This window comes from Homo sapiens, chromosome 18 (genome assembly GCF_000001405.40).
Source record: "Homo sapiens chromosome 18, GRCh38.p14 Primary Assembly".
Lineage (NCBI taxonomy): Eukaryota > Metazoa > Chordata > Mammalia > Primates > Hominidae > Homo > Homo sapiens.
In genome coordinates, this window is record NC_000018.10 from 63400776 (window position 1) to 63424363 (window position 23588).

Genomic DNA, 23588 nt, shown 5'->3' on the forward strand with positions numbered 1-23588 from the left:
CTGGAAAGATTTTCACTCTAAACCTCTAAGGATCAAAACAATATTTTAAAAATAAATCAATCTAAGGTATGTCTTAAATATATTTTGTTTCTTCTAGAGACTACTTTATCAAAAAGAGACTTGCATAACATAAGCCTTCTAACAGGAAGTACATTTGTTTGCTCATTCATTCAACCAATATGTATCAAAACCGTAACATGTGCACAGGCAAAAGGATTTCTGCCCTGCGTGGAGTCTAGTAGGGGAAAAGAGTTCAGTTAAAAGGTACTTTCTGATCATCTACTGTGTACACTGCTTGATACCAGAATATTGTACAAAAATTATATCCATAAAAAATGGGCAGCTGGAAGAGATTTTCTTTGAATATTTATGCTCTTTGGAAAAGTGAACCTAACAAAGTTTGGATGACTTGTGAGTTTCTGCTGAATTCTTGATTCCACAGGAAAGCACAGGTTAGTGTTATAGGTAGCAGACTTTCTTTTATTTTATTTTTTTTGAGACAGAGTCTCACTCTTGTTGCCCAGGCTGGAGGGCAGTGGTGCGATCTCGGCTCACTGCAACCTCTGCCTCCTGGTTTCAAGCAATTCTCCCGCCTCAGCCTCCCAGGTAGCTGAGATTATAGGTGCCCGCCATTACGCCTGGCTAGTTTTTGTATTTTAGTAGAGACGGGGTTTTACCATGTTGGTCAGGCTGGTCTCGATCTTCTGACCTCAGGTGATCTGCCCACCTCAGCCTCCAGCTAGGTAGCAGACTTTCATGGTTGGGTAACAAAAAGGTGATACTACTTTAAATCCTAGTTTTGCCAAAATATAACCAGTGAATACATCAACTCTTCGAGCCTCAATTTTGCTAATGAGCAATTATAATCCTGCCTAAAATAAAACAGGTGGGTTACAGCTGGCAGTAAACTATCAAACATACATTTAAAAAACTATGGCTGGGCATGGTGGCTCATGTATGTAATCCCAGCACTTTGAGAGGCTGAGATGGGCGGATCACCTGAGGTCAGGAGCTCGGGACAACTGTGGCCAACATGGTGAAACCCTGACTCTAGTAAAAATACAAAAATTAGCTGGGTGTGGTGGCAGATGCCTGTAATCCCAAATACTCGGGAGGCTGAGGCAGGAGAATTGCTTGAACTCGGGAGGTGGAGGTTGCAGTGAAACGAGACCACGCCATTGCATTCCAGCCTGGGTGACAAGAGTGAAACTCTGTCTCAAAAAAAGAAACAAAACAAAACAAAACAAAAAAAACTGCTAGGTGCAAACTATGGATGTGTACACAGTATCTGCAAAAGAATGATATGCAGATGAATAACACTGTTTCACTTAACTGTTATGAAAGCAACTGTTACTTGAATTTCATTTTCCTATTTTACATGTATACATTTACAAGTCAGTGTCTGAGTATGGTACATATACCACTGGTATAACATGAAGTACTTTTAGGTGGTATATACTTTAAATAATTTTTTAATGTGTATTGGAAAAACACTTTTTTTTCCACTTATAAAGGCACAAAGCAGTCTTTTCAATAACGTTACTAAGTAAAAATATGTGAGATGATTTAAAGTTCAAATACAGGCAAAATAATCTCTGGCGTTAGAAGTCGAGAGAGAGAGATGACCTCTCGGGAGGAATGAGGCAGAAGGCTCCTGCCAGGTCCCTGGCAATGCTGTTATTTCTGGATCTGGTTGATGACACTGGCATGCTTGCTTTGTGACAATTAAGGAAGCCCAACACCCAGGGGCTCCTGTATGTCTCTGTATATTTATGCTATACTCTAGTAAAAATGTTGTTCTAAAAAATAAGCAAAGAAAAATATTAAAAATTAGTAATGGTACACATACATGGAAAAATTCATGAAGATGATACATCAATGACTCATGTTTGAGAAAAAGTGGTATAAGTAATATACCATAAAATGAGTTCAACCATATTTTTGTGCTTTTATAGGATTATGATGTCAACTTTTATGCTGTTAAGTTTCATACTCCTGAAGTTGGGTAGTAAACTGCACCTTGAAGCTAGGCGGACAGTGCGTGGCCTACAGGCTTTTTGCTCTTCATCACTGCTCTATACGATACGACTGTCTGGACTCTTCAGTCTGAGGCCAACATTGCAGATTTGCTGTTGACATAAACCAACATGTTTGCAAAAGGAAAAACCTCTGACTGTCAGACTGTGGGTGTGGCCATATTACAGTCAAGGCTATCAGTCACAAGAAGGATAATATAAAGGAATGGTTTAGCACAGACATATCACTTACTGCTGGAACTAGAACTTGTAAGTTTCCCCAGATGGTAGGTCAGCAATATTCTCTTCACAGTGATAATGAAATGTCCTTTTGCTACTAGAGGTTATGCACTTCCTCTGAAACTGTTAAGTGATTCTTACTCCTCTTTTTAAGAAATACTCTTTAAAAATCATAACCATTGCAAAAATTCAGATGAAAGTCAAAAGTAAAAATCTCCTATAATCTTATCCCCTAGGCATATATTAATATTTCTATGTGAATCTAACTATACTTACTTCTCAGCATACACATTTAGCAAACATGGAATCATACTATTCAGTTTATAACTGCTTTTTGATCTTTGCAATAGATGTGGACATTCTTCAATAAAATACAATGCAGATTTCAATTTATTAATGTAGATGTACACTCTATTTTACTGAGTGCATAGTATTCCACTGCATGTTGGTGAATTACCCTACTGGTTGACATTTAGGTTGTTTTGCAATATATATACACTGCAAATATGGATATGTATAAGAAATAAAACATCTTGTATAAAGATATATCACCACCTTTTAACAGTCACAATTTATTTAAGATAATTCATTAGTGACAAGAATGACAATGCTTCACCTCAGTCATCAATGAACTTTTACAAACTCATGAAATAAAATTATTTAAAAGTTATGTCACCTGTAAAAAGATGAGGAAATTTAATAGGCAGTATCACAGCCTCTTTCAGTGCTTCTTTGGCTCCTTCAAGTCCAGCAACGTCACTCCATTTCACATTTGGTCGTTCTATAACAATGGCACCTGCAAAAAATTACGTTATCTTTAAATTAAGAAAGACTATTTCACCAAAGTTAGAAGACAACATGAAATAATGATGTTAAAGAAACGCATTATAAAATTGGGAAAGTTTTATGTACTAACAACCTTTTTGAAATAGCGTGAGCAGGAAGCAGGTGTTAGGGAGTAGTCAATAGGACTAGGAACCAGGTGGATGACTAGACAACCTGGGGCATGTTACTTTACCCTTCTGTTTCAGCTTCCTCACTTGTGAAATGAAAATAATACCATCTGCCCAAACTACTTAGATAGGTTGGTGCGAAAATCAAATGACATAATGAATATTAGAGTGTTTGGAAAAGCACCAAACGTTCCATAAGGTGGTTATATTTGAATACATTGATTTTGGAGTATCAAAAGTACTTGTTCTACCATTTCTCCTGTTAACCAAAAGAAAAGGTGATCTAATCCTCTCCTCAACCACTGAAAAAAAAAATATGCTTAACAAATTTAACTCAAGATAGGCAGACAGACAGAAGGGAGAAGGAAAAGGAGAGAGGAAAGGAAGGAATGGAAGCAGATGATGGGAAACCGAGAAAAGATACCCCTGCAGATTTGCAATACTTTCCTAAGATTTGCCCAAGTTTCTATTTGGCTGCTAAATAGATCTATTTACAACTTTTGTTAATTAACAAAGTTAACTTACAGGGAAGATTTAGCTTCTGAATGCAGTATATTCAAAAGCCAAAGCAATTATTGCAGTAAGAGTCCAAGAAGGATGTCTTTTAATATAGCCTACTGACAAATTTTCTAGTTCTCTTTTATCAAAAGCTTTTCTAATTTTCTAGAATATGGAAACTGTTCCACTATAAACTATGAAGCAGCCTGTTCTAAGATGACATGTAGTTAGTTGTTTTAAGTGTAACAGAACACCACCACTTATACAATCTATTACTTTATGAAATCACTGCTACTGATTGTTTCTTCTTGTTAGGAAAGATAATCTGTTACTCTAAGACTAGTTACTAGCAACTTACTTCCCTAAATTATGAAAATCTTTAGCTACTAGATTAAAATTACATGAAACCATAAGCATTTTGTATTCCAAAAGTTCAGACTACTATAAAGTAAGAAAAAAGTAAATTCATTTCGTCTTTTTTATGTTTCATTAAGATTAGTAATCCTAGGATTTCATGTCAGTTAAACAAAAATAAACTTTATTTTATATATGTATACCGTCTGACTCAAGATTTCTGCTATAAATTTTAAAAATGTGTCATGATTTGTTTTCATATATAATACTTCTAAGTTAAAAGGTGACTTTGGAATGTTTACTGATAAACAATCTCATACTAGACATGGTTTGCAAAATTAAAAAGGGGGGATGGGATTATGAAAAATGCTAACAAATGGAATGTACTTCCAATGATATAAATTTATCCGGTCTTTGACTATACTATTTACTAGTATATTACTTAATCACAAAAAATTCACTGAATAAAATTAGCTAACAGAAAACTCAAATCACAAACCGATTTTTAATTTTAACAAATATACACTTAATATCATAATCTAAAACAGAAGTAAAAGATTTAAAATACTGTTCAAAAAACAAGGAAAAATTCAAAAAAGATACAATAGTATGAAATCCAGCAGCAAACCATTAAAAAGTAGAAAAAAAAGGATATTCAAATATAAAAGGCTAGGACTCCTTTCATATTCTATTTCATCCTGAAATTTCAAATACATTTCCTCATTTAAATGTTTTAAGTATTTGGTTTTTTTTCTCTTTTATTTGTTTGTTTTACATTTCTGGCCTTTATTGTAAGTGATAGGGAATTTAGAGAAATCCCTATTAAAAACTGGTTGTATCGGCCAAGTGCGGTGGCTCACAATTGTAATCCCAGCTCTTTGGGAGGCTGAAGTGGGCAAATCACTTGAGCTCAGGAGTTCGAGAGCAGCCTGGGCAACATGGCCAAACCCCACCTCTACAAAAACAAACAAACAAACAAACAAACAAACAAAAAAAAAAACTTAGCCGGGCATGGTGGTGTGTGCCTGTGTTCCCAGCTACTCAGGAGGCTGAGGCAGGAGAATCCCTGGAACCCAGGAGTTCGAGGCTGCAGTAAGCCGTGATTGCGCCACTGCACTCCAGCCTGGGCAACACAGCGACACCCTTGTCTCAAAAAAACAAAAAAGAAAAAAAAAATGTATCTTTTCGAAAATTAAAGATATGCAACTGATTTTTACCTGGGGCAGGGTAGGGAGAGGGAAACAAAACCAAATCCAATAGAGCAGACAAAAAAAGTGTCTTGCTTTACAACTGGAATAAGGCCACTTGGCACAGACCCACTGGGTTACCCAATAAATGCCAACTGAGTGCGCAGTGTGTGCCAGTAGTTTCAGGTGGTGGGGACACCACTACGCTTGAGTGTAAACTCAAGATTTTGCCCTTGGACTATATCTACCACTGAAGTTCTTGGCATCTAAAGATGTTCTCTATTCATTACCTGGTCTGTTGTCAACACATTATCCTTACAGTGTTTTCCTAGACATCCCAGTAGGGTAGGCAAGACAAAAATACTACCAAAACGAAGACACTAGTATAGCAAGGCTAAAAGTTTGGCTCAGGTAAGTATTTTCACTATTCAGTAACCAAGGCTGAACCTATAAAATGGAAATCCTTCCCAGTTATGCATTCTATTTGGTAAGATTCAAATGAACAAAATACATACTACCAATGGGTGAGCAAAAAATTCAATCTGAAAAATTGTTAGATAATTTATTTCGAAGAATAATCAAATCTCAGTGATTAACAAAGCCAGCCAACAAATAGATGCCTTTTTAGATAAACAGTGCTACCATTTATTGAGTCCCTAGACTTCGTCAGATATATGAGGTAGTTTTTACACTGTCATTAATCTTAAAAGCCCTGAAAGGAAGCTATTGCTCATTTCTATTTTAGAGATGGGGGACGCTGGTTCTGAGAGATTCAGTCACTTGCCCACAATTAGAAAGTTCTAAGTGGCAGACCCTTGAACAGAATCAAGATCTGAATGGAGCCAAAAACCTATGTCCCCTCTGTTATGCCACTGTGCTATAGTAGAACAGAATGAAAGGGCTTTACAGGTGTGGATGGTAAACACAGAAAGCTTAAACAATTAAATGTAAACAGGAACACTGAAAAGCAGATGAAGAGCAGTTAAGAAACAAAATAAACCATCAATAAGTGAGCTACAGCAACGGCAATAAAAGCCACGTGTAAGTCCTAACTTCTCCCACAGTAGTAAATTTTAATACCATCAAATTTTGCAGTGTGCTAATAGTATAAGTGTTACCTTCTCTAAAAGGCGGCAAATAAACAAAAAGAAAGAGCAAGTTGACTGAGAGCCTTTTAAAGGCAGATGTGAAGCCAACAAAACTATTACATAAAAAAGACCAAACCATGATCCTAGAGGGCAAACCCTAAGAAAACACTCTAAACAAAGCCAGCACATGACTATTGGGAACCAAAGCCAGTTCTTAAACTTCATTTAAATATAGAGGGAGAACAAAAACAATTCAAATAGACAATTCACTTTGAGTCTTTTTAATAGGATAGTAAATTTAAAAATGAAATCTAAAGCAACCTTGAAGTTGATTCTGTAGTTTCTTTTTTTCAGGATCATCAGATTCTCCTTCCCCATCACTGTCATTCCTAATAAAAAGAATTTAATATATTCAAATGATCACTCATTGCTATCAAATAAGGCAAAAATGAAGGAAAAATTAACCTGAAATATTTGTAATTTCAGTGGCAAAATCAGACATTTACATTAAAAGTTATGCTTACTTATTTTAAAGAATGTAGTAAATAAGAAGCAGTCACGTTATCATCAATAGAGAATCATGTAAAAGAAAGGGACAAAAAGACCAGAATGAAGTCAGGAACTAGCTCCAAATTCCCATGACATATTTAGGTATGTATTAATTCATAAATGCATGCCCCACACATCACTCCATGAAGGATTCAAGATGAATCACAGGAGAGCTGCAAACAACAACAGTAAAAACATCAGGACTGGGCAAGATATAAATTAGAACAAGAGGTCATATTAGGAGGAAAAAAATCTGGAACACTAAGGTACAAAGGTCTACAACCCTTAGTCTGGGGATTCCAAAGGACAGAGGAAGCTTCCTGATGACAATGAACTACACCCAAAGAACAAGTAGGTCGATCAAGGCATTTCATTCATATCTAGGGATTTATCTTGAGGAAATAATTTTAGACAAGTTCAAGCATTTGACCATAAGGATAATCACACCCACACTGTTTGCAAAAGGGGAAAAAGTAACTCATATTATAGGGACTAGCATATGACAGGATACATTGCAACATTTAAACGTGATGTAGAAATAGTTTATTGGAAAGATATTCCTGATACAATGTTAAGTATAAAAGTGATAAAGCCAAAAATAAGGCATTATATCATTTTTAAAACAATAACATATAAAGGGAGATAAAAGCATGACATGTTTTATGCCAAAATGGAATTGCCTTGGTTATCATAGGACGGTGGGGCTGTGGGTGAGGTAGACACTGCAAAAGATTCACATGACACTCACTCCAACCTCTTTCTATCATGCTGTCCAGTACTATAAAGGCTGTCCTTATTAAAAACAAACAAACAAAAAAAACCCTGCCGTTTCTCATCTCCCTTGTAGCTAGGGTTCCACATGAGACCTAAATTCTTCCAAGAAGGTGGGGGCTGCTCACAAGGAGACAGAATCTTCAGGCGAAGGCACTGGTTTTGCTGAGGGAGCTGCGCAGAGGATTTACTACCTGCTCCCAAGCACCATCAGTGCTTAGCAGAGGAGTTGGCAACAGTGGGATCCCTACTTGAACAACCCTGGTACTGTTGGCCATTTCTCCTGATTCCCTGGCCCCACTATTCTGTAAGGTAATACCCTATAATATATCCCTTTTTGCTTAAATTAGCCAAAGTGGGTCCTACTGTAAACGAAGATTGCTGTTCAGTACAAAAGAAAAACTGGCATCGCCTTGTCAGGTAATCATCTCAGAAGAGATCCTTACAGGGTTTTCAAGCAAGAGAGAAGAGCTTCTATGGACAAGGGAAGAGAAGCTTCTGCTGTCAAGGGAGTCTCAGTGACAGCTGGAGGTCCTGGGCAGTCAAGGTCAACTAAATTCTTCCCAATATTTTCACTTCATGTTTGGAGTCCCTGTTTTATACCAAATGTCCTCACTTTCATATAAGAAACCCTAAGTTGGAATTCAGTAATTTGTAAGATCAGACTATCATCTGATTTTTGTTAAGTCAGTGCTATCGATGAAGAAGATAACATGTTCTTAGGGTGTCACAGAAACTCCCTGGTTCCCCGATCACATCTTGAACAGAGAATATAAAACCTTGAGCTTAAGCTTATCATTTCCTTCAAACTCTGCCACATAGTTTGAAGCAGCCAAGTCAACACTGGTTCTTATATTCCTCATGTACTTCCAAATGGTCTGTGGTAGCAGCCACGAAGCCCCAAAGCACTGCCTAAAAGGCACTTCATTCCTTGTGACCACAGGGTATTGTCTAAATAACCTGCGCCACTGCATACCATGAACAATGAGAACCACATCCTCTAAAGCTGAGCAGAATCTCGCTGTTTTCAAACCCAAGCAGGCCAGATAACTCCATCCCAGAGTCTCATTTTCTTAAGGGTGTGTTACCTGGAACTACTGGCATCAATTAATAGGACAGCCAGAGAGGATGTGGTTAGAATATGTTCCCAGTGCTGAGCACAAACTTGGCACGCATATGTCATGTACTGAATAAACAAATTCTGCATCTAGAAGTGATACATCCCCCATCTAGGAAGACATGCCAAAAATCAGTTTCAACGTTTATAAGTTATGCTGTGTTGTTTTCTTTACAATGACAACATAAAGCAAATCTAACACAAATTCACATCAAAAAATTTTGCATAAGATATCCAAAAAAAATTTACATTGTTGGAGTTACTTTTCATTTTTTCCATGTGGTCAAAGGTTTAACTCTCTGGTCACTCCTATAACCTTAAGCTTCCATATTAGCTAATGGCCAGAGAGTAACTGAGTACTATTCCTACAAGCATTCTCTCCTCCTACTAGCAGGCAGTCAGGAAGGGTTGTTTGAGGAATATTATCCATTCAACTTGGCAAACTAGGGGTCAGCAAACTTTTTTTTGTAAAGGACCAAACAAGTAAATATTTTAGGTTTCGTGGGCCATACGGTCTCCACACAACCACACAACTTTGTTGTTACGGCACGAAAGCAGCCCTAGACAACAATATGTAAAAGAATGGGCACGGCTGTGTTCTGATAAAGCTTATTCCAAAAACAGGCAGCTGGGCAGCTTTGGCCCATGAGCCATAGTTTGCTGACACCTGTTTTAATCAAAAGAAATTTCACAAATCGAAAGCAAAAAGCCACAATAAAATTGAACAATTTTAAACACGTACCCCTTCTCATCTGCTGGACTCGGCTGTCCTTCTTTCACTGGCTTCTGTGCTTTTTTCTCTTTATTTTTCAGGTACTCCTTTAGTTTTTCTGCTCTATCAAGATATTCTGTACACTTTGCCCTGATACTTTGCTTGGCTTTATCACCCTGTGCTTCATCTATTAAAGGGAAATGAGAGAGATTTTTTTCCATTAGTATTCTATGTAGAAAGGTTTGAACTCTTAAATATGTATTTTTTCAGACAAGGAAATTCTATGTTGGAAGAAGGAGGGAAGATCATCTCTAACTCATCATAGCCAATGATTATCACCTCTTTTCTACCCCTTCCTCCAGCAGGGTTGGAGACCAACAGTGGGTCTGAATCAGAAACAACCTAAGCAAGACAGCAGGGTATATTAAGTTAATGTTAACTAACAGGAAATTATTTAATATTCTGAAGCTTTCATATTTTTCCCTTACATTTTTGCAGATAGTTCAAAGTTGCTTGTCTTAGACAAACCCAATTATAAAAAAGACAAATAGAAGGAAAGCAGTATTAATCATTTCTATGAATGTCTACAAAAGCTTTATTTCAGAAGAGTAAAGTGATGGAAATCCCATATATTCTGTGTAATACCAACATCGTAAATTTTACTACACAAAGGCCTCTGTCAGAGCTGTTTTCAAAGTGAACTTTGGCAACACGTGCAATAGATGGGATGAGCCCCACATAGCTTACAGGTTATGACTCATTCTTAGTCTCACTTTAACATAAAACCTCAGAACTAAATGGGAGAAGCTCAAAAGAACATCTTCAATCATCTAACTGCATTCCATTTAAGAGCTATGAGGGCAGGGGTCTTAACCATTTCTTTCCATTGTATCCCCAGTGCCTGCCACGTGGTACACACGCAATACATATCTGTAAAGACACAAATAGAATGTCTCCTAACCTATTTTCCACTGACTAGACTACATTTTAAGATGTTTACATATACAAAGTAATAACTATGATGGCTGTCACATTTGCTAGCTACATCTCAATACTTAAAAATCACTAGAAAGAAAGTGGAGTATTTTTTTTTTTTAACAAATGGATCGTTTAGAATTGTCTGGCATTATATTTCAATTTTTTAGAAATGAAACAGAATAAATTTTCCTTTTCGTGTTTTTAAATAAAATATAACCTATGGCCTCACATTTAACGACATGAAGAAAATACTGCACAGCATGCTGATAGAGCTGAAGGGCTTCTTCGTAGTTCCCAGCCTTGTCTTCTTGCGCTGCTTTGCTAGCCAGATCTATCGCTTTCTGTTTGAGGGAGGCAAAATAACAACATTTAAATCAAAGCATAAACATAAATTTGAAGTAAATAATCATACTGAAAGTTTTTTTTTTTTTTAAAGCTTCTCAGCTTGCTGGGCTGTGAAAGAAAACAAAAATAAGTAAAAAATAAACAGTAACTAAAAAATCATTTTTTTCTAACTCACAACTGTATTTTATTATAAATTACAAGTTGAAAAGATGCAAATTACATGTTATAGGAATAAATGCTACTGAATGTTACTTTAGTACCAATCGCTAACATTTACATGTAATTTTCACTTAGCTAAAGTTAAATTTAGGGCTAATAAGAAATAATAGAATGTGAAAATTCAAACTAAACAAGCATTTAGAGAAATTCTCAAAAATTAAATGCTGCTTTAATCTAAAAGATATAACAATAGTGGAAATGTAAATGGGGTGAAACCTCTTCAGAAGCAATGGGGCAATGAAATATCAAGAATCTGAAAAATACTCATATATTTCAATCCAGTAATTAACTAAAAGGTTTACTGAGCACAGATATTATCAGAGAGGTCTTTTAAATAACAAAAACAAAACCTGGAAACTTAAATCATAAAGGATGCCACAAAACAGAACACCAAAGGATCACTAAAATAACATTAAGAAATATTTGTAATAATATGGAAAGTGTTAATAATGGGCATTTTTAAAAAGCAGGACACAACTTTTTATATGTAGCAGGAATTTATTTGAAACAACAGCAGAAAAAAGCAGCACAGGAAAAAGATGGGAAGGAAATTGTTAAACAGAGTTTATCTTTGATAAAACATATATTTTTCATTTTCTACTTTTTCACATCTTCTAAAAAATGTCCATAAGGAACATGGACTACTTTTGTGGCATTTTTTTAAAAAGTCCCAGAAATAAATCCATACTAATAAAGCCAAGAGATTTTTGAAAATGATGCAAAAAGCCAGTCAATGGCACCGAGTCAGGCTTTTTAAGAAGTGGTGCTAGAGGAACTAGACATCCATAAGCATACACCTAAAAGAATTCTGACTTAAACTTAATACTTCCTACAAAAATTAACTCAAAAATGGATCATAGAATTAAATGTAAAACTACAAAACTTTGATTCTTATTTATTTGTTGAGACGGGGCTCCATCTCACTATGTCGACCAAGCTAGCCTCAAACTCCTGGGCTCAGGTGATCATCCTGCATCAGCCTCCCCAAATAGCAGGATCACAAGTCCACACCACCGCACCCAGCTAAAACTTTTAGAAAAAACATGGAAAACTTAGGATCTGGGGATGCGCAGAGTTCTTAGATTTGACATCAAAAGCATACTATATAAAAGAAAAAAAAAGGTAACTGGATCTTATGACAAAACTTTTGCTCTCTGGAAGATTTTGTTAAAAGGATGAAAGGACAATCTATAGACTGGGAGAAATATTTGCAAAACATATCTAACAAAGAACTAGTATCGAGAATACATAAAGAACTCTCAAAATGTAACACATATCTACATGTGATAAAACTGCACAAACAACCACACCCACACACATAAAAACACATAAGGACAAGTAAAACTGGGAAAATATGAGTAAGAGTGGTGGAATGTATCAATATCAATATCCTGGTTGTGATATTGTCCCAGTTCTACAAGATGCTGCCACTGCAGACAACTGGATAAAGGGAATGCTGGATTCTCAGTATTTCTTACAACTGCGTGTGAATCTACAATTATCTCAAACTAAAATTCTCCTGAGCTCAGGAGTTTGCGACCAGCGTGGGCAACACAGTGAAACCCCGTCTCTACTAAAACACAAAAAATTGACCAGGCGTAGCGGCATGCGCCTATAGTCCCAGCTACTTGGGAGACTGAGGCAGGAGAATTGCTTGAACCCGGGAGGCGGTGGTTGCAGTGAGCCAAGATCATGCCACTGCACTCCAGCCTGGGCAACAGAGTGAGACTCCACCTCAAAAAAAAAAAAAAAAAAATTATGCACAGATACATACAAATAAAGGGCAAACATGACTTATTAAAACATTCCAACTGGGTTAATTTAGGTAGTAAAACTATTCAACAGAAATAGGTGCCAGTAAAAAAAAATGAAAATTGACAGTTGTTAGAGATATTAAAAAGTAAGTATATAACATAAGCAAAAAATCATTCAAACAATGCAAAAACCAATTATGTGTAAGAATATTACATTTTGGGGCAGTTGAGCATGGATTGGATATAACTGGGCTGAGATCTGTAAATGGGAGGAACAGGTCTCCCGCTGGAAGACCATGCTTCCTCTATTGTAGCAGGGAAGAAAAATAAATGGTTTACTTCAGAATTGATAAAATGTAATAGTTACGTATCTCACAGGTCAAGTAGCCTAAATTCAAAGCTAAATTTTCAAGTTTTATCAGCTAGTATATGAACATAAAACATGGAGTCACACAGTCAAGTGGTGGTTAGGTCAGACTGGTCATATAAAAATGCACCACAGCCAAGATTGTGCCACTGCACTCCAGCCTGGGTGACAGAGTGAGGCCAAGCACAGTGGCTCACGCCTGTAATCCCAGCAGTATGGGAGGCCGAGGAGGGCGGATCACTTGAGGTCAGGAGTTCGAGACCAGCCTGGCCAATATAATGAAACCCCATCTCTAAAAATACAAAAAATATTAGCCAGGCGCCTGTAATCCCAGCTACTTGGGAGGCTGAGTCAGGAGAATCGCTTGAATCCGGGAGACAGAGGTTGCAGTGAGCCGAGATCATGCCACTGCACTCTAGCCTGGGTGACAGAGCAAGACTCTGTCTCAAAAAAGAAAAAAAAAAATGCATCTCAAAGCCTCAGTGGTTAAGCCACATAGCAGAAATAAATCCTTTTTCTTTTTTCTTTTGAGATGGAGTCTCACTCTTGTCGCCCAGACTGGAGTGCAATGGCGCCATCTTGGCTCACTGCAATCTCTGCCTCCCAGGTTCATGTGATTCTCCTGCCTCAGCCTCCCCAGTGGCTGGGATTACAGGCACCCACCACCATGCCTGGCTAATTTTTGTATTTTTAGTAGAGATGGGATTTCACCATGTTGGCCAGGCTGGTCTCAAACTCCTGACCTCAGGTGATACACCTGCCTCAGCCTCCCAAAGTGCTGGGATAACAGGCGTGAGCCACCGTGCCTGGCCTAGAAATAAGCTCTTTCTTATCCTAACTATAATTTTCTTCTCAGGTGATTTTGAAATGCTGTGCCACTCACCTCTTCAGCCACTTGTTCCTCTCATTCAGTCAGGCCTCACTGAGGCACCACACTGATTTTTATTAAGTTAAATCTCTTATACTGCAGTGGGTATTATTTAAGCATCTAGCTCCAAACATAGTGCTAATTAAACCAGCCTTTCCCTGATGATGAGAATGTCTGTATATGGCTTCTGAGCACTTGAAATGTGGCTAGTGTGACTGAGGAGTGAGTTTATGTAATTAAAATAGCCACATGCAGCCACTGTACTGGGTGGCACACGTTAAACCTTTAATCGAAGACGATGAATTAAGAGGATATGCATCTGTTTTTTTTCTGCTGATGAATACCATTTCAACCTTATTTCTGTTAACATTTTTCATCTGAAATAAAATTAACCATGTCTGTTAGCATTTTTCATTTGAAATAAAATTAACCATGTCTTCTATGGTTAATTCTGGAGAGCTAATTATTTTATTTTTTCATTCCAGAAAGCTTTACCGGAGGGATCCATACAAAGGACATCCCCGCACTTCCATAGTTTCTTGATGGACATGTTTTACTCTCTATCCTTCTGCATGACGCTGGCTACTGCTATCTCAAAGTCCTCCTGGGTGACATGCACTCGCCGTTCCCTCAGGGCATATATGCTGCTTTCTCTGTATATGACTTTCACTTCAGCCCCTGATGCTCCTGGCATAAGCTTGGCAATTTTTCTCTGGTTGATCCCCTGGGTCAGGTTCCTTTTCAGAGAATGGATCTTCAAAATGTCCAGCTGGAATTCAATTTTTCTGTTGATGTGCCCTGAGTGAAGCAGTGGTCCATGATAACCTTGATCTTCTTGGGGGCCTCAAAGCTGTCCAGTTGGTTGAGCAGTTCCAGCACGATGTGCAGCACTTCACTGTCCCCTCCAGAACCCCCCTCCAGCTGCGAGGAGCTGATGGAGCTGATGACAGATGGCAGGTCCTCATGCCATGACAAACAGCTCCCTCACCATTCTTGGCCCTTCCCCGATGAATTTCTATACAAATTCAGAGCCAGGGATATGAACAAAGGTACAGTCTGTATGGTGAGCCACAGCCTAGGCAAACAGTGTCTTCCCAGTGCCTAGAGGTCCGTACAGCAGTACCACCCTGGGTTGTGTGATACCCAGTGCTTCAAAGAGCTTGGAATGCTTAACAGGCTGCTCGATCACTTCTGTGATGTCCTTAATCTGCTTGTCCAGTCCACCAATCATCTCTTAAATCAAGGTTGGCACCTTCTCCACCATCACTGGTGACACCAGTGGGTCTACTTTGCTGGGTATGATATTGTGCAGTGTGTCGCTATCATTTCTTAGCGCCCCCCTGGCAATTGGGTCTCATGTCATTGATGTTGCTGTTTCTGTCCACATCTAAGACAAACTTGCCCTTGGGATACACCTTGACTAACACTTTCTCCTTATTCATGGCCCGGACTACTTCCCTTATACAGGAGCCCTGTTCCTGCAGCAGCTGTAGCTCCTCCTGCAATAGGTGAACTTTTGCATTGAGTTCATTCATTTATGCCTGCAGCCTCTGGAGGTCCTGGCTGTTATCATTCACTACTGACTGGAGTTCTTCAGTCTCAGACAGATAATACTGGCAGAGTCTGTTGCCTGTCTTCCCCTCTTCCAGCTCCATCTGCTCTGGTCCATCAAACATTATCTTCCCTTTTCAGCCAGAGCTAATTTTCTTTCTGAATATAATCCTCACCATCTCCCTTGCTAACACCCTAGTTCAAGCTGCTATCATATATGTCAAAACTACTACCCAGCCTCGTGAGTGGTCAGTCTGTTCCCACCCTTGCTACCTCAAAACATAAAAGGTAACCTTGATGGTCTCCCATTAAAAACAATAAAATCCTGATGCTAGAGCTGATCTACAAGGTCTGAAATAACCTGGGCCCTAGCTACGTGTGGTTCTCCCCGAACCCTAGAATCCTCCTGCACTCAGGCAGCCCAAGCAGTTGAACCCTTCCACCTAGAATGCTCTTCCCTCCTTTCCCCAGACAGATGCATGATGTCTCCTTTTCAGTCCTAGTTCAGATGGCAAGTCCTTAGAGAGGCCTCCCTAATTTGCTATAGCAAAGGCTGCACCTCATTCCTTCTCTTTGCTATCTGCCCCCACTGCACTCTCTCATCCCATCACTGTCATTGTATTTACCTGTATGCTCACCCACTGGCTGTCTCCTTTAGGGAGGTAGGTTCCATGAGGACAGGACTTCACCTTGAGCTACCCATGCCTAGAATGGTGCCGGCATACAACAGGTACTCGAAATTGTTTAACGAATGAAAAAAAAAATTCCCTACTCCTTTTTCAGTATCTTCTTCCTTTTGGTTACTTCACTTCTGTCATTCTTAACAATTTCTCTCCACTAGATATTTCCATCGACATACAAACAGCCCTCCTTTAAAAAGTCTTATTTGACAAAACACTGTTCGGTGTTAGTTCTGTTTCTCTGCTACCTTTTAGAGCCAAAAATCTCACCAGAGTGGCCTCTATTCTCTTTCCTGTATCACATAATAAAACGGCTCATATCAAGGCTCTCTAGCATGCTAGATCCAAACACCAGCTCTGTCTTCTTGATCTTCTGACATTTTACAAAGTTGATTATTTCCTCCTTCTTGGACACTGTCCTCTGCTGAGCCCCCAACCACCACTTTGCTGGTTTTCCTCCCACCATTCTGGCTCCTCCTTCTCAGCGTCCTTCATTGATTCTTCCTCTCTTATGTGACAATGAAGTATATTCATCAGGTGTGGGCTGGGACTCATTTCTCTCTGTTTCCTCCCCCCCTACATCAGTGACTTAAGGCTGATGATCTTTGTGTGTGCATGTGTGTGTCTGAGCATGCATATGTTTTTTTTGTTTTTTTTTAATTTATTGGCCTCTCTCTTCTATTAGAATGTAAGCTCCAGGAGAAGAGCAGTTCTGTCTGTTGTCTTCACTTCTTTATATTCCCAGAGTCTAGCACAGTGGCTGACACAAGACTGAATGACTGTGTCACCCCAGGATCAGTCAGGATCCAGTTATCCATACGGAAGTATAAAGGTTGGGAACATGTGGAATTGTCCTGTTCCACTTAGGAGTCCCAGACACATCCACCTTAGAAAACCCTGAGAAATGGGGTAAATTCTACAATTACCTACCTCAGAAGAGGTGTCCCAGGCCCTGTCTGTTGAGACCAATTCTTTCTCCTCTGCTGTGGAGCTGATCCCCACCTTCCTCTGCTGACATTTACTCCATCAATGACATGCCTATCAACTGTTCTCTCCAACCTTTCCTTTTTTCCCTCAGCAGAAAAATGTGTTGTCCTATCTCAGACTCACATCTGCAGAACACAAACTACACACCATCACTCCTCAGCTCCTCGGTTCTCCTCTCCCTACATCTCACTCATCTCTTTGCCTCCACAGCAAAATCCCAAAGAATACCCATGTTCATCCCAGTTTCCTGATCTCCTATTTCTCCCACAGCAATGCTTTCTGCCTCCTGATAGCCAAATCATATGCTTATCTCACTCCCTCTCCGCAGCATTTAACACACACAACAAATACCCTGACAGTGTCTCCTTGCCTGGCTGTCATGACACCATTTTCTTCTAGTTTTAGTATTTTTTTTTTTTTAGACAGGGTCTCACTGTGTCACCCAGGCTGGAGTACACGGGTGTGATCACGCCTCAGTGTTACCTCCACCTCCTGGGCTCAAGCCATTCTCCCACCTCAGCCTCTGGAGTAGCTGGGACTACAGGCATGCACCACCACACCTGGCTAATTTTTGTAGAGAGGGGTTTTCACCATGTTGCCCAGACTGGTCTCGAAGTCCTAAGCTGAAGCGATCTGCTGCCTCGGCCTCCCAAAACACTGGGATTACAGGCATGAGCCACTGCGCCTGGCCTGGTTTTACTTTTGATTCATAATTCTTTTCCAGGCTCCCATTTCTCTCTCCTTAACTGTCGCTAATCCATAGAATTTCTAACGTGGTCTTTGTTTTGCCTTATTCTGTAAACTCTCCAGGATGTGACTCTGTATGCCTACAACCTCTGCTACCACCTGTACGCTAATAAATCCTTATTTCCAGCCTAGTCCACTCTCCCTACTTCTACACATATGTATGCAAATATTCACCGGACATTTCCATTTGATTGTCTCCACAAGCATCTCAAACTCGACAAGTTTAGAACCAAATTATTTTGCTCCCTTGCCCTGGCCCCAAATAGCTCTCCTTTTGTATTCCCAGAACCAATCCCTACCTGAGTTGGGTACTCAGATACCCAACCCAGAAATCTGGGAGAAAACTCAGACTCTTCCTCCTCCCTCACTTTTAAAATGCAGATACAGCAGGGAGCAGTGGCTCACGCCTGTAATTCTACCACTTTGGGAGGCCAACGGGGGTGGATCACCTGAGTTCAGGACTTTGAGACTGGCCTGGCCAACACAGCGAATCCCCGTCTCTACAAAAATTAGCTGGGTGTGTTGGTGCATGCCTGTAATCCCAGCTGCTACATGGGGGGCTGATGCAGGGGAATCGCTTGAACCTGGGAGATGGAGGTTACCATAAGCCGAGATCATGCCACTGCACTCCTGCCTGGGCAATAGAGTGAGACTCTGTCTCAAAAAAAAAAAAATAAATGCAGATACAAGCTTGACTCTTCTCCATCTTCAATTTTTCTCCTTTGATCAATCCTTTCCACTTCATTTGAATGGATACTCTACTAATTTGGCCCCTTACCGCCTCCCATCCCACAGACCTTGCCTCCTTGCCCAGTACATTTTATTACAATATACTGTAATAAAAGTGATGTGAATGTGGTTTCTCTCTCTCAACATCTTATTGCACTGTTCTCAACCTTCTTGTGATTATGTGAAATAATAAAATGCCTACGTCATGATATGAACTGAAGTGAATGACACAGGCATTGTGACATAGTGTTTCAAAATTATGAACTATTTATTCTAGAATATTTCATTTAAAATTTTTGGACCCAGGTTAACTTCGGGTTATTGAAACTGTGGAAAGTAAAACCACAGGGAAGTGGAGAATACTGTGCAGCTTTATTACATTATATAATTTTGATTTTTAGTTATCTGCATTCCCTCATTAGATTATAAGCATCTGGCCACAGAGATTTTTGCCTTGTTCAGCAGGAAGTTAATCACTACATGAATATTAATCCAAATTTCCTAGGTTAGAAGGTTGAAAAGGTTGAATGAGAAAGCACACATGTGAACCTACCACTAACAAAATTACAATTCAAGATCCTTCCTGCTTAAGAGTAACAATTATGCCTTTCATGTTGGTCAGTCTCTGGCTGATTCACTGAAGAACAGCCAACAGTCCAATTCAAGTATGATGCATTCTGGGGCCGGGCACGGTGGCTCACACCTGTAACCCAGCACTTTGGGAGGCTAAGGCGGGCGGATCACTTGAGGTCAGGAGTTCAAGACCAGCGTGGCCAACATGGTGAAACCCTGTCTCTACTAAAAATAGAAAAAATTAGCCAGGCGTGGTGGCAGGCACCTGTAATCCCAGCTACTCGGGAGGCTGAGGCACAAGAATCACTTGAACCTGGGAGGTGGAGGTTGCAGTGCGCCAAGATCACGCCACTGCACTCCAGTCTGGGCAACAGAGCAAGACTGTCTCAAAACAACAACAACAAAAACCTGCAAATGATGAAGATTATGTTGTAGAGTATCGAAATCACATGCAAAGTCTCTGACAAATGAAAAGCTGGTGGAATAAAAATTGTTAAAAAGCCAACGATGACAAGATGGGCACTTCAGAAGAGTCACCTTTAATACTCAAGGGAAAAATACTTTTACCAAATGACCAACGCTTTTTCCAAATACGTTTACCAAAAAGAACCTTTCCAAATAGGACTACAAAAAGCTACAAAAAACTCAAGTGAAGATTGCTGAATCTTAGTTTAATACAACCTTGGTGAAAAAGATAGTCATCCGGGCACGGTGACTCACGCCTGTAATCCCAGCACTTTGGGAGGCTGAGGTAGGCGGATCACCTGAGGTCAAGAGGCCAGCCTGGGCCAACATGGTGAAACCTCATCTCTACTACTAAAAATACAAAAATTAGCTGGGCGTGGTGGTGGGTGCCTGTAGTCCCAGGTACTCAGGAGGCTGAGGCAAGAGAATCGCTTGAACCTGGGAGGTGGAGGTTGTAGTGAGCTGAAATCACGCCACTGCACTCAAGCCTGGGCGACCGTGCAAGACTCCGTCTCAAAAAAAAAAAAAAAAAGAAAGAAAAGAAAAGGAAAAAAACACAGACAAATCAACACTTGACTTATTCCACAAAATGAGTCATTGTTGCAATTATACAATTATAATATTTTGTGAAAGATAACAATTATTTTAATAATCTTCTAGGTCGATTTTCAAGATGAAAGTCCCAAGCAAGCCTCCTTTCCCACTCTTTTTGTGTATGTGTGTGTGAAATTTTAATCTCTGTTTAAGTGGGTCTACTTTGAGTGGTCTTTCTTCAGAATCAATTATCATGGGTTAAGGAGTTCTTCCATTACCTTTGATGCCTCTGTCAGGCACTCCAATAACTGCTTGTTCAACAAACTACCGGAAGTCCACGACGGGGACTCAATACAAGTATTTTAGGCTACTCTTTTGTGCCTTATTGACTTACTGGACTGGGAGTCCTCTACATTAAGCCACATTACATTCTAAACGCCACTGAAGCCCTAGATCCATTCTGGGGATGGGAGACACCATTACATTAAGAAATTTCTTTTCTGAACGAATTCCATTCCACAGAGGACTAACGATTAAGCCTAAAATCTTAAGATTCCATGATTTGTGTACAAAACACTGTGCTCATTGCGGTAGAGGAGGGGAAGTGGAGCCACACAGAGGTTTAAGAATACTCCTCGATCTTACACACTACCATCTGGGAGCCACAGGAGTGTGCACATAAATTCAATGACTTCACGGAGATTGCATGCAGGCTGGCTGTAATCTCAGATTCTTGGTCTGTTCCCATATCTCTACTCACCTGACAGCTCAGAATGAAGGGGTCTGCTGTCAGCTTGAGAAACTAAGACCGAACTATGACCACCCTATCTTCAACTGGTCCAGAATAGGGCTTTGCAAAAATTACGTTCTTTCTTTCTCCGTTAACCCTGATTGGAGAAACCTGCCCAGATCTTGGCTGGTTTGGAAGCGGGAAGTGTCAACAAAAGTGAAGAGTCTCACAAAGCCAGTAGCTCGGGAGACCCCAAGAGCGGGCCAGAAACGACCTTTCCGTTGGAAAACGGGCCCCTCTCCCACCTGCTGCAGGTCCCCGGACCCGCCCTCCTGCGCCTCGACCACAGGCGCGGCCGCTTCCTCCCTTCTCCCCGCCCCCCACCCGCTTCTCGCGCCTCCCCTCGATCCCAGCTCCCTAGGGGGACGGGAGATGAGCAATGATACCTGGAGGTTGGGCGAAGTGGATGACATGGCGGAGTTCCCAGGCGGTTCCCAAGGGAACGAGGGGCGAGGAGAGCCAACAGCAGCAACGTCGAAGCGCGCACGGGGTAACAGCCCTCAAACTGGGGAGGCCGGTGGTTCTCGGACCGCGAAGGGCAGCCTCCCTTCCGGAACTTGTTTTAGACAACACTCTCTCCACCAGAGCTCCGACCCTCCCCACCAAACTTCCGCAATCCCGAGGCCCTCTAGGTTCTGGTCCCGCCTCTGCTCCGGGCACTTCCGATTTCGTCATCAGCACGCGCACCCAGTCACCAGACTCCCTTCTCTAGCCACAGCGCAGGCCCTCCCTGGGCCGGGAGAAGTAGCCTGGAAGCCAATCGAGCCCTGGCGGAAGTCGGGCTCGGCGCAGGCGCACTGAGACTCTGGCCTAGGCGCGGGCGGCAGCCTGGCAGACCTAGGAGAGCGCAAGCGCGGAAGCACAGAGCCGGGTTTTGTTGTTTGTTTGTTCCCCACCCCCGGGGACGTCTTTTACTTTGAGATGAATTATTGGCCCCGGCTCCCTTCCCTCCTCATCCACATGCTTTGTTGCCTCGTAGCTTTTGAGTGAAAAAGTCGTCCATTTCCAAGACCCGCCGACTGGGGGCTTTGGGCCTGTGACTGCGCCTTCACTCCGTGTCCTCTGTGGAATGGGGGCGATCACCGTCCTCGTCTCGGTGGTGAATAATTCAGGAGGGAGTGCGCGGTGAGGCGGCCGCACAGCGGTGCGCTAGCAGTCAGGCCGCGGGCGGGTCGGCGCTCGTTCCCGCTTGTTCTTCCCACGCCACTCGGCATCTTCCAAATGACTGTTGTGTTGGGAAGATGAATGTAAATAAGGCGTGGACGGCCGCTGTCCTCGAGTATGTGGTCTGAGAGGGAAGCACTTGTCCTGTAAAATGGGCATATCAGATATTATTTATGCCAGTTATGTTTACAAGCAAATGGCTTGAGGAGGTTGAATGCGTCAGGGATTAGAGGCAGAACCAAAGTAAAACCCTTTCTCAGCCTTCCTATGGTTTGCAGCCACCACCACCCTTTTCTTCTTTTCATAGTTAACATTCTCAAAGGAAAGCAACATAGATGTTTAATCACTCCATCATTTTTTTCTCACTCATTTCTTAATTTTTTCTCATCTGGCATCTCCGAAAGAATTAAAGTCCTCTCCTCTTCCCTCTTCATTGGTATTGTCAACTACCCAGTTCTTGTTTGTCCAGCTTCCCAATATTCCTTATCTGCTTCCTTCACTGTCTCCCTTTCTTACTCCTCCCTGAGCTTAAGCTGAATTTACTCAAGAGTCTGATGTCCTCTTCTCTCTTCACCTCTGCTCATCTAACTCTCTTCTTGAGCTTCAGCTATCAATAGACTAGAAATTGCTTCAAATCTGGATCTCTAGACCCACCCCATCCCCAGCCCAGCATTTACAACAGCCTCCCAGAGGTTTCCTTCACAGGGTTTTTCTGCAAGACAAATTCAACATACTCTAATTAATTACCTTCTACCCTAAACTTCTTTCTCTGGTCTCTCCTTAGAATAGTATTGCCAAATCTGTATCATCCAGGCTCGAAGCACAGAGCCCTCTCTCTGCCCTGCATCTACCCGTCCTTTCTTCCCACTTGTGAATTTGCCTTCGCAAAATGATGACTGAGACAGTGAAAGAGATCTAACTTAACCAACTCCATCTTACTTTTAACCTCCAAGCTGTCCTTGTACATTCCTGAGCATAGGCTGAACTAACTGTGGGAGAAACTGAGTTTATAATTTAAGCAAAGATGGGCCGGGCGTGGTGACTCACGCCTGTAATCCCAGCACTTTGGGAGGCCGAGGTGGGTGGATCACTTGAGGTCAGGAGTTCGAGACCAGCCTGGCCAACATGGTGAAACTCCATCTCTACTAAAAATACAAAAATTAGGCCGGGTGTGGTGAGTCACGCCTGTAATCCCAGCACTTTGGGAGGCCAAGGCGGGCGATCACCTGAGGTCAGCAGTTCAAGACCCGCCTGGCCAACATGGTGAAACCCTGTCTCTACTAAAAATACAAAAATTAGCTGGGCATGGTGGTGCGTTCCTGTAATCCCAGCTACTCGGGAGGCTGAGGCAGG

The 23588-nt window shown here is 40.9% G+C and overlaps 1 protein-coding gene, 1 long non-coding RNA gene and 1 pseudogene across 3 annotated transcripts in view, besides 1 other annotated feature; 1 reads left to right on the top strand and 2 right to left on the bottom strand.

Annotated features, from left to right (window-relative positions):
- Nucleotides 1-21701, bottom strand: part of VPS4B (vacuolar protein sorting 4 homolog B) — a 33287-nt gene extending 11586 nt beyond the window's left edge. The window contains exons 1-5 of one of the 2 annotated variants that reach the window (NM_004869.4): nt 21458-21701; nt 10692-10803; nt 9515-9671; nt 6657-6724; nt 2932-3051 (exon numbers count right to left, since the gene is read on the bottom strand). In NM_004869.4, the coding sequence (NP_004860.2) occupies nt 2932-3051; nt 6657-6724; nt 9515-9671; nt 10692-10803; nt 21458-21484 (484 nt within the window). In that variant the 5' untranslated portion in view covers nt 21485-21701. Of the gene's footprint in view, nt 1-2931; nt 3052-6656; nt 6725-9514; nt 9672-10691; nt 10804-21457 lie in introns of those variants that run through there. The other variant, XM_047437949.1, reaches the window with a different exon arrangement.
- On the top strand, nt 72-4260 carry LOC124904316 (uncharacterized). The gene is made up of 2 exons (XR_007066399.1): nt 72-264; nt 1956-4260. It is a non-coding gene; the product is annotated as an uncharacterized LOC124904316 (long non-coding RNA).
- On the bottom strand, nt 14497-15713 carry LOC100422317 (proteasome 26S subunit, ATPase 5 pseudogene; annotated as a pseudogene).
- Nucleotides 21569-21868: an enhancer, noted in NCBI's record as "active region_13468". NCBI's record gives its function as "activates an Ori minimal core promoter by ATAC-STARR-seq in GM12878 lymphoblastoid cells {active_cell/tissue: GM12878}" and the evidence as "EXISTENCE:reporter gene assay evidence [ECO:0000049][PMID:35858748]".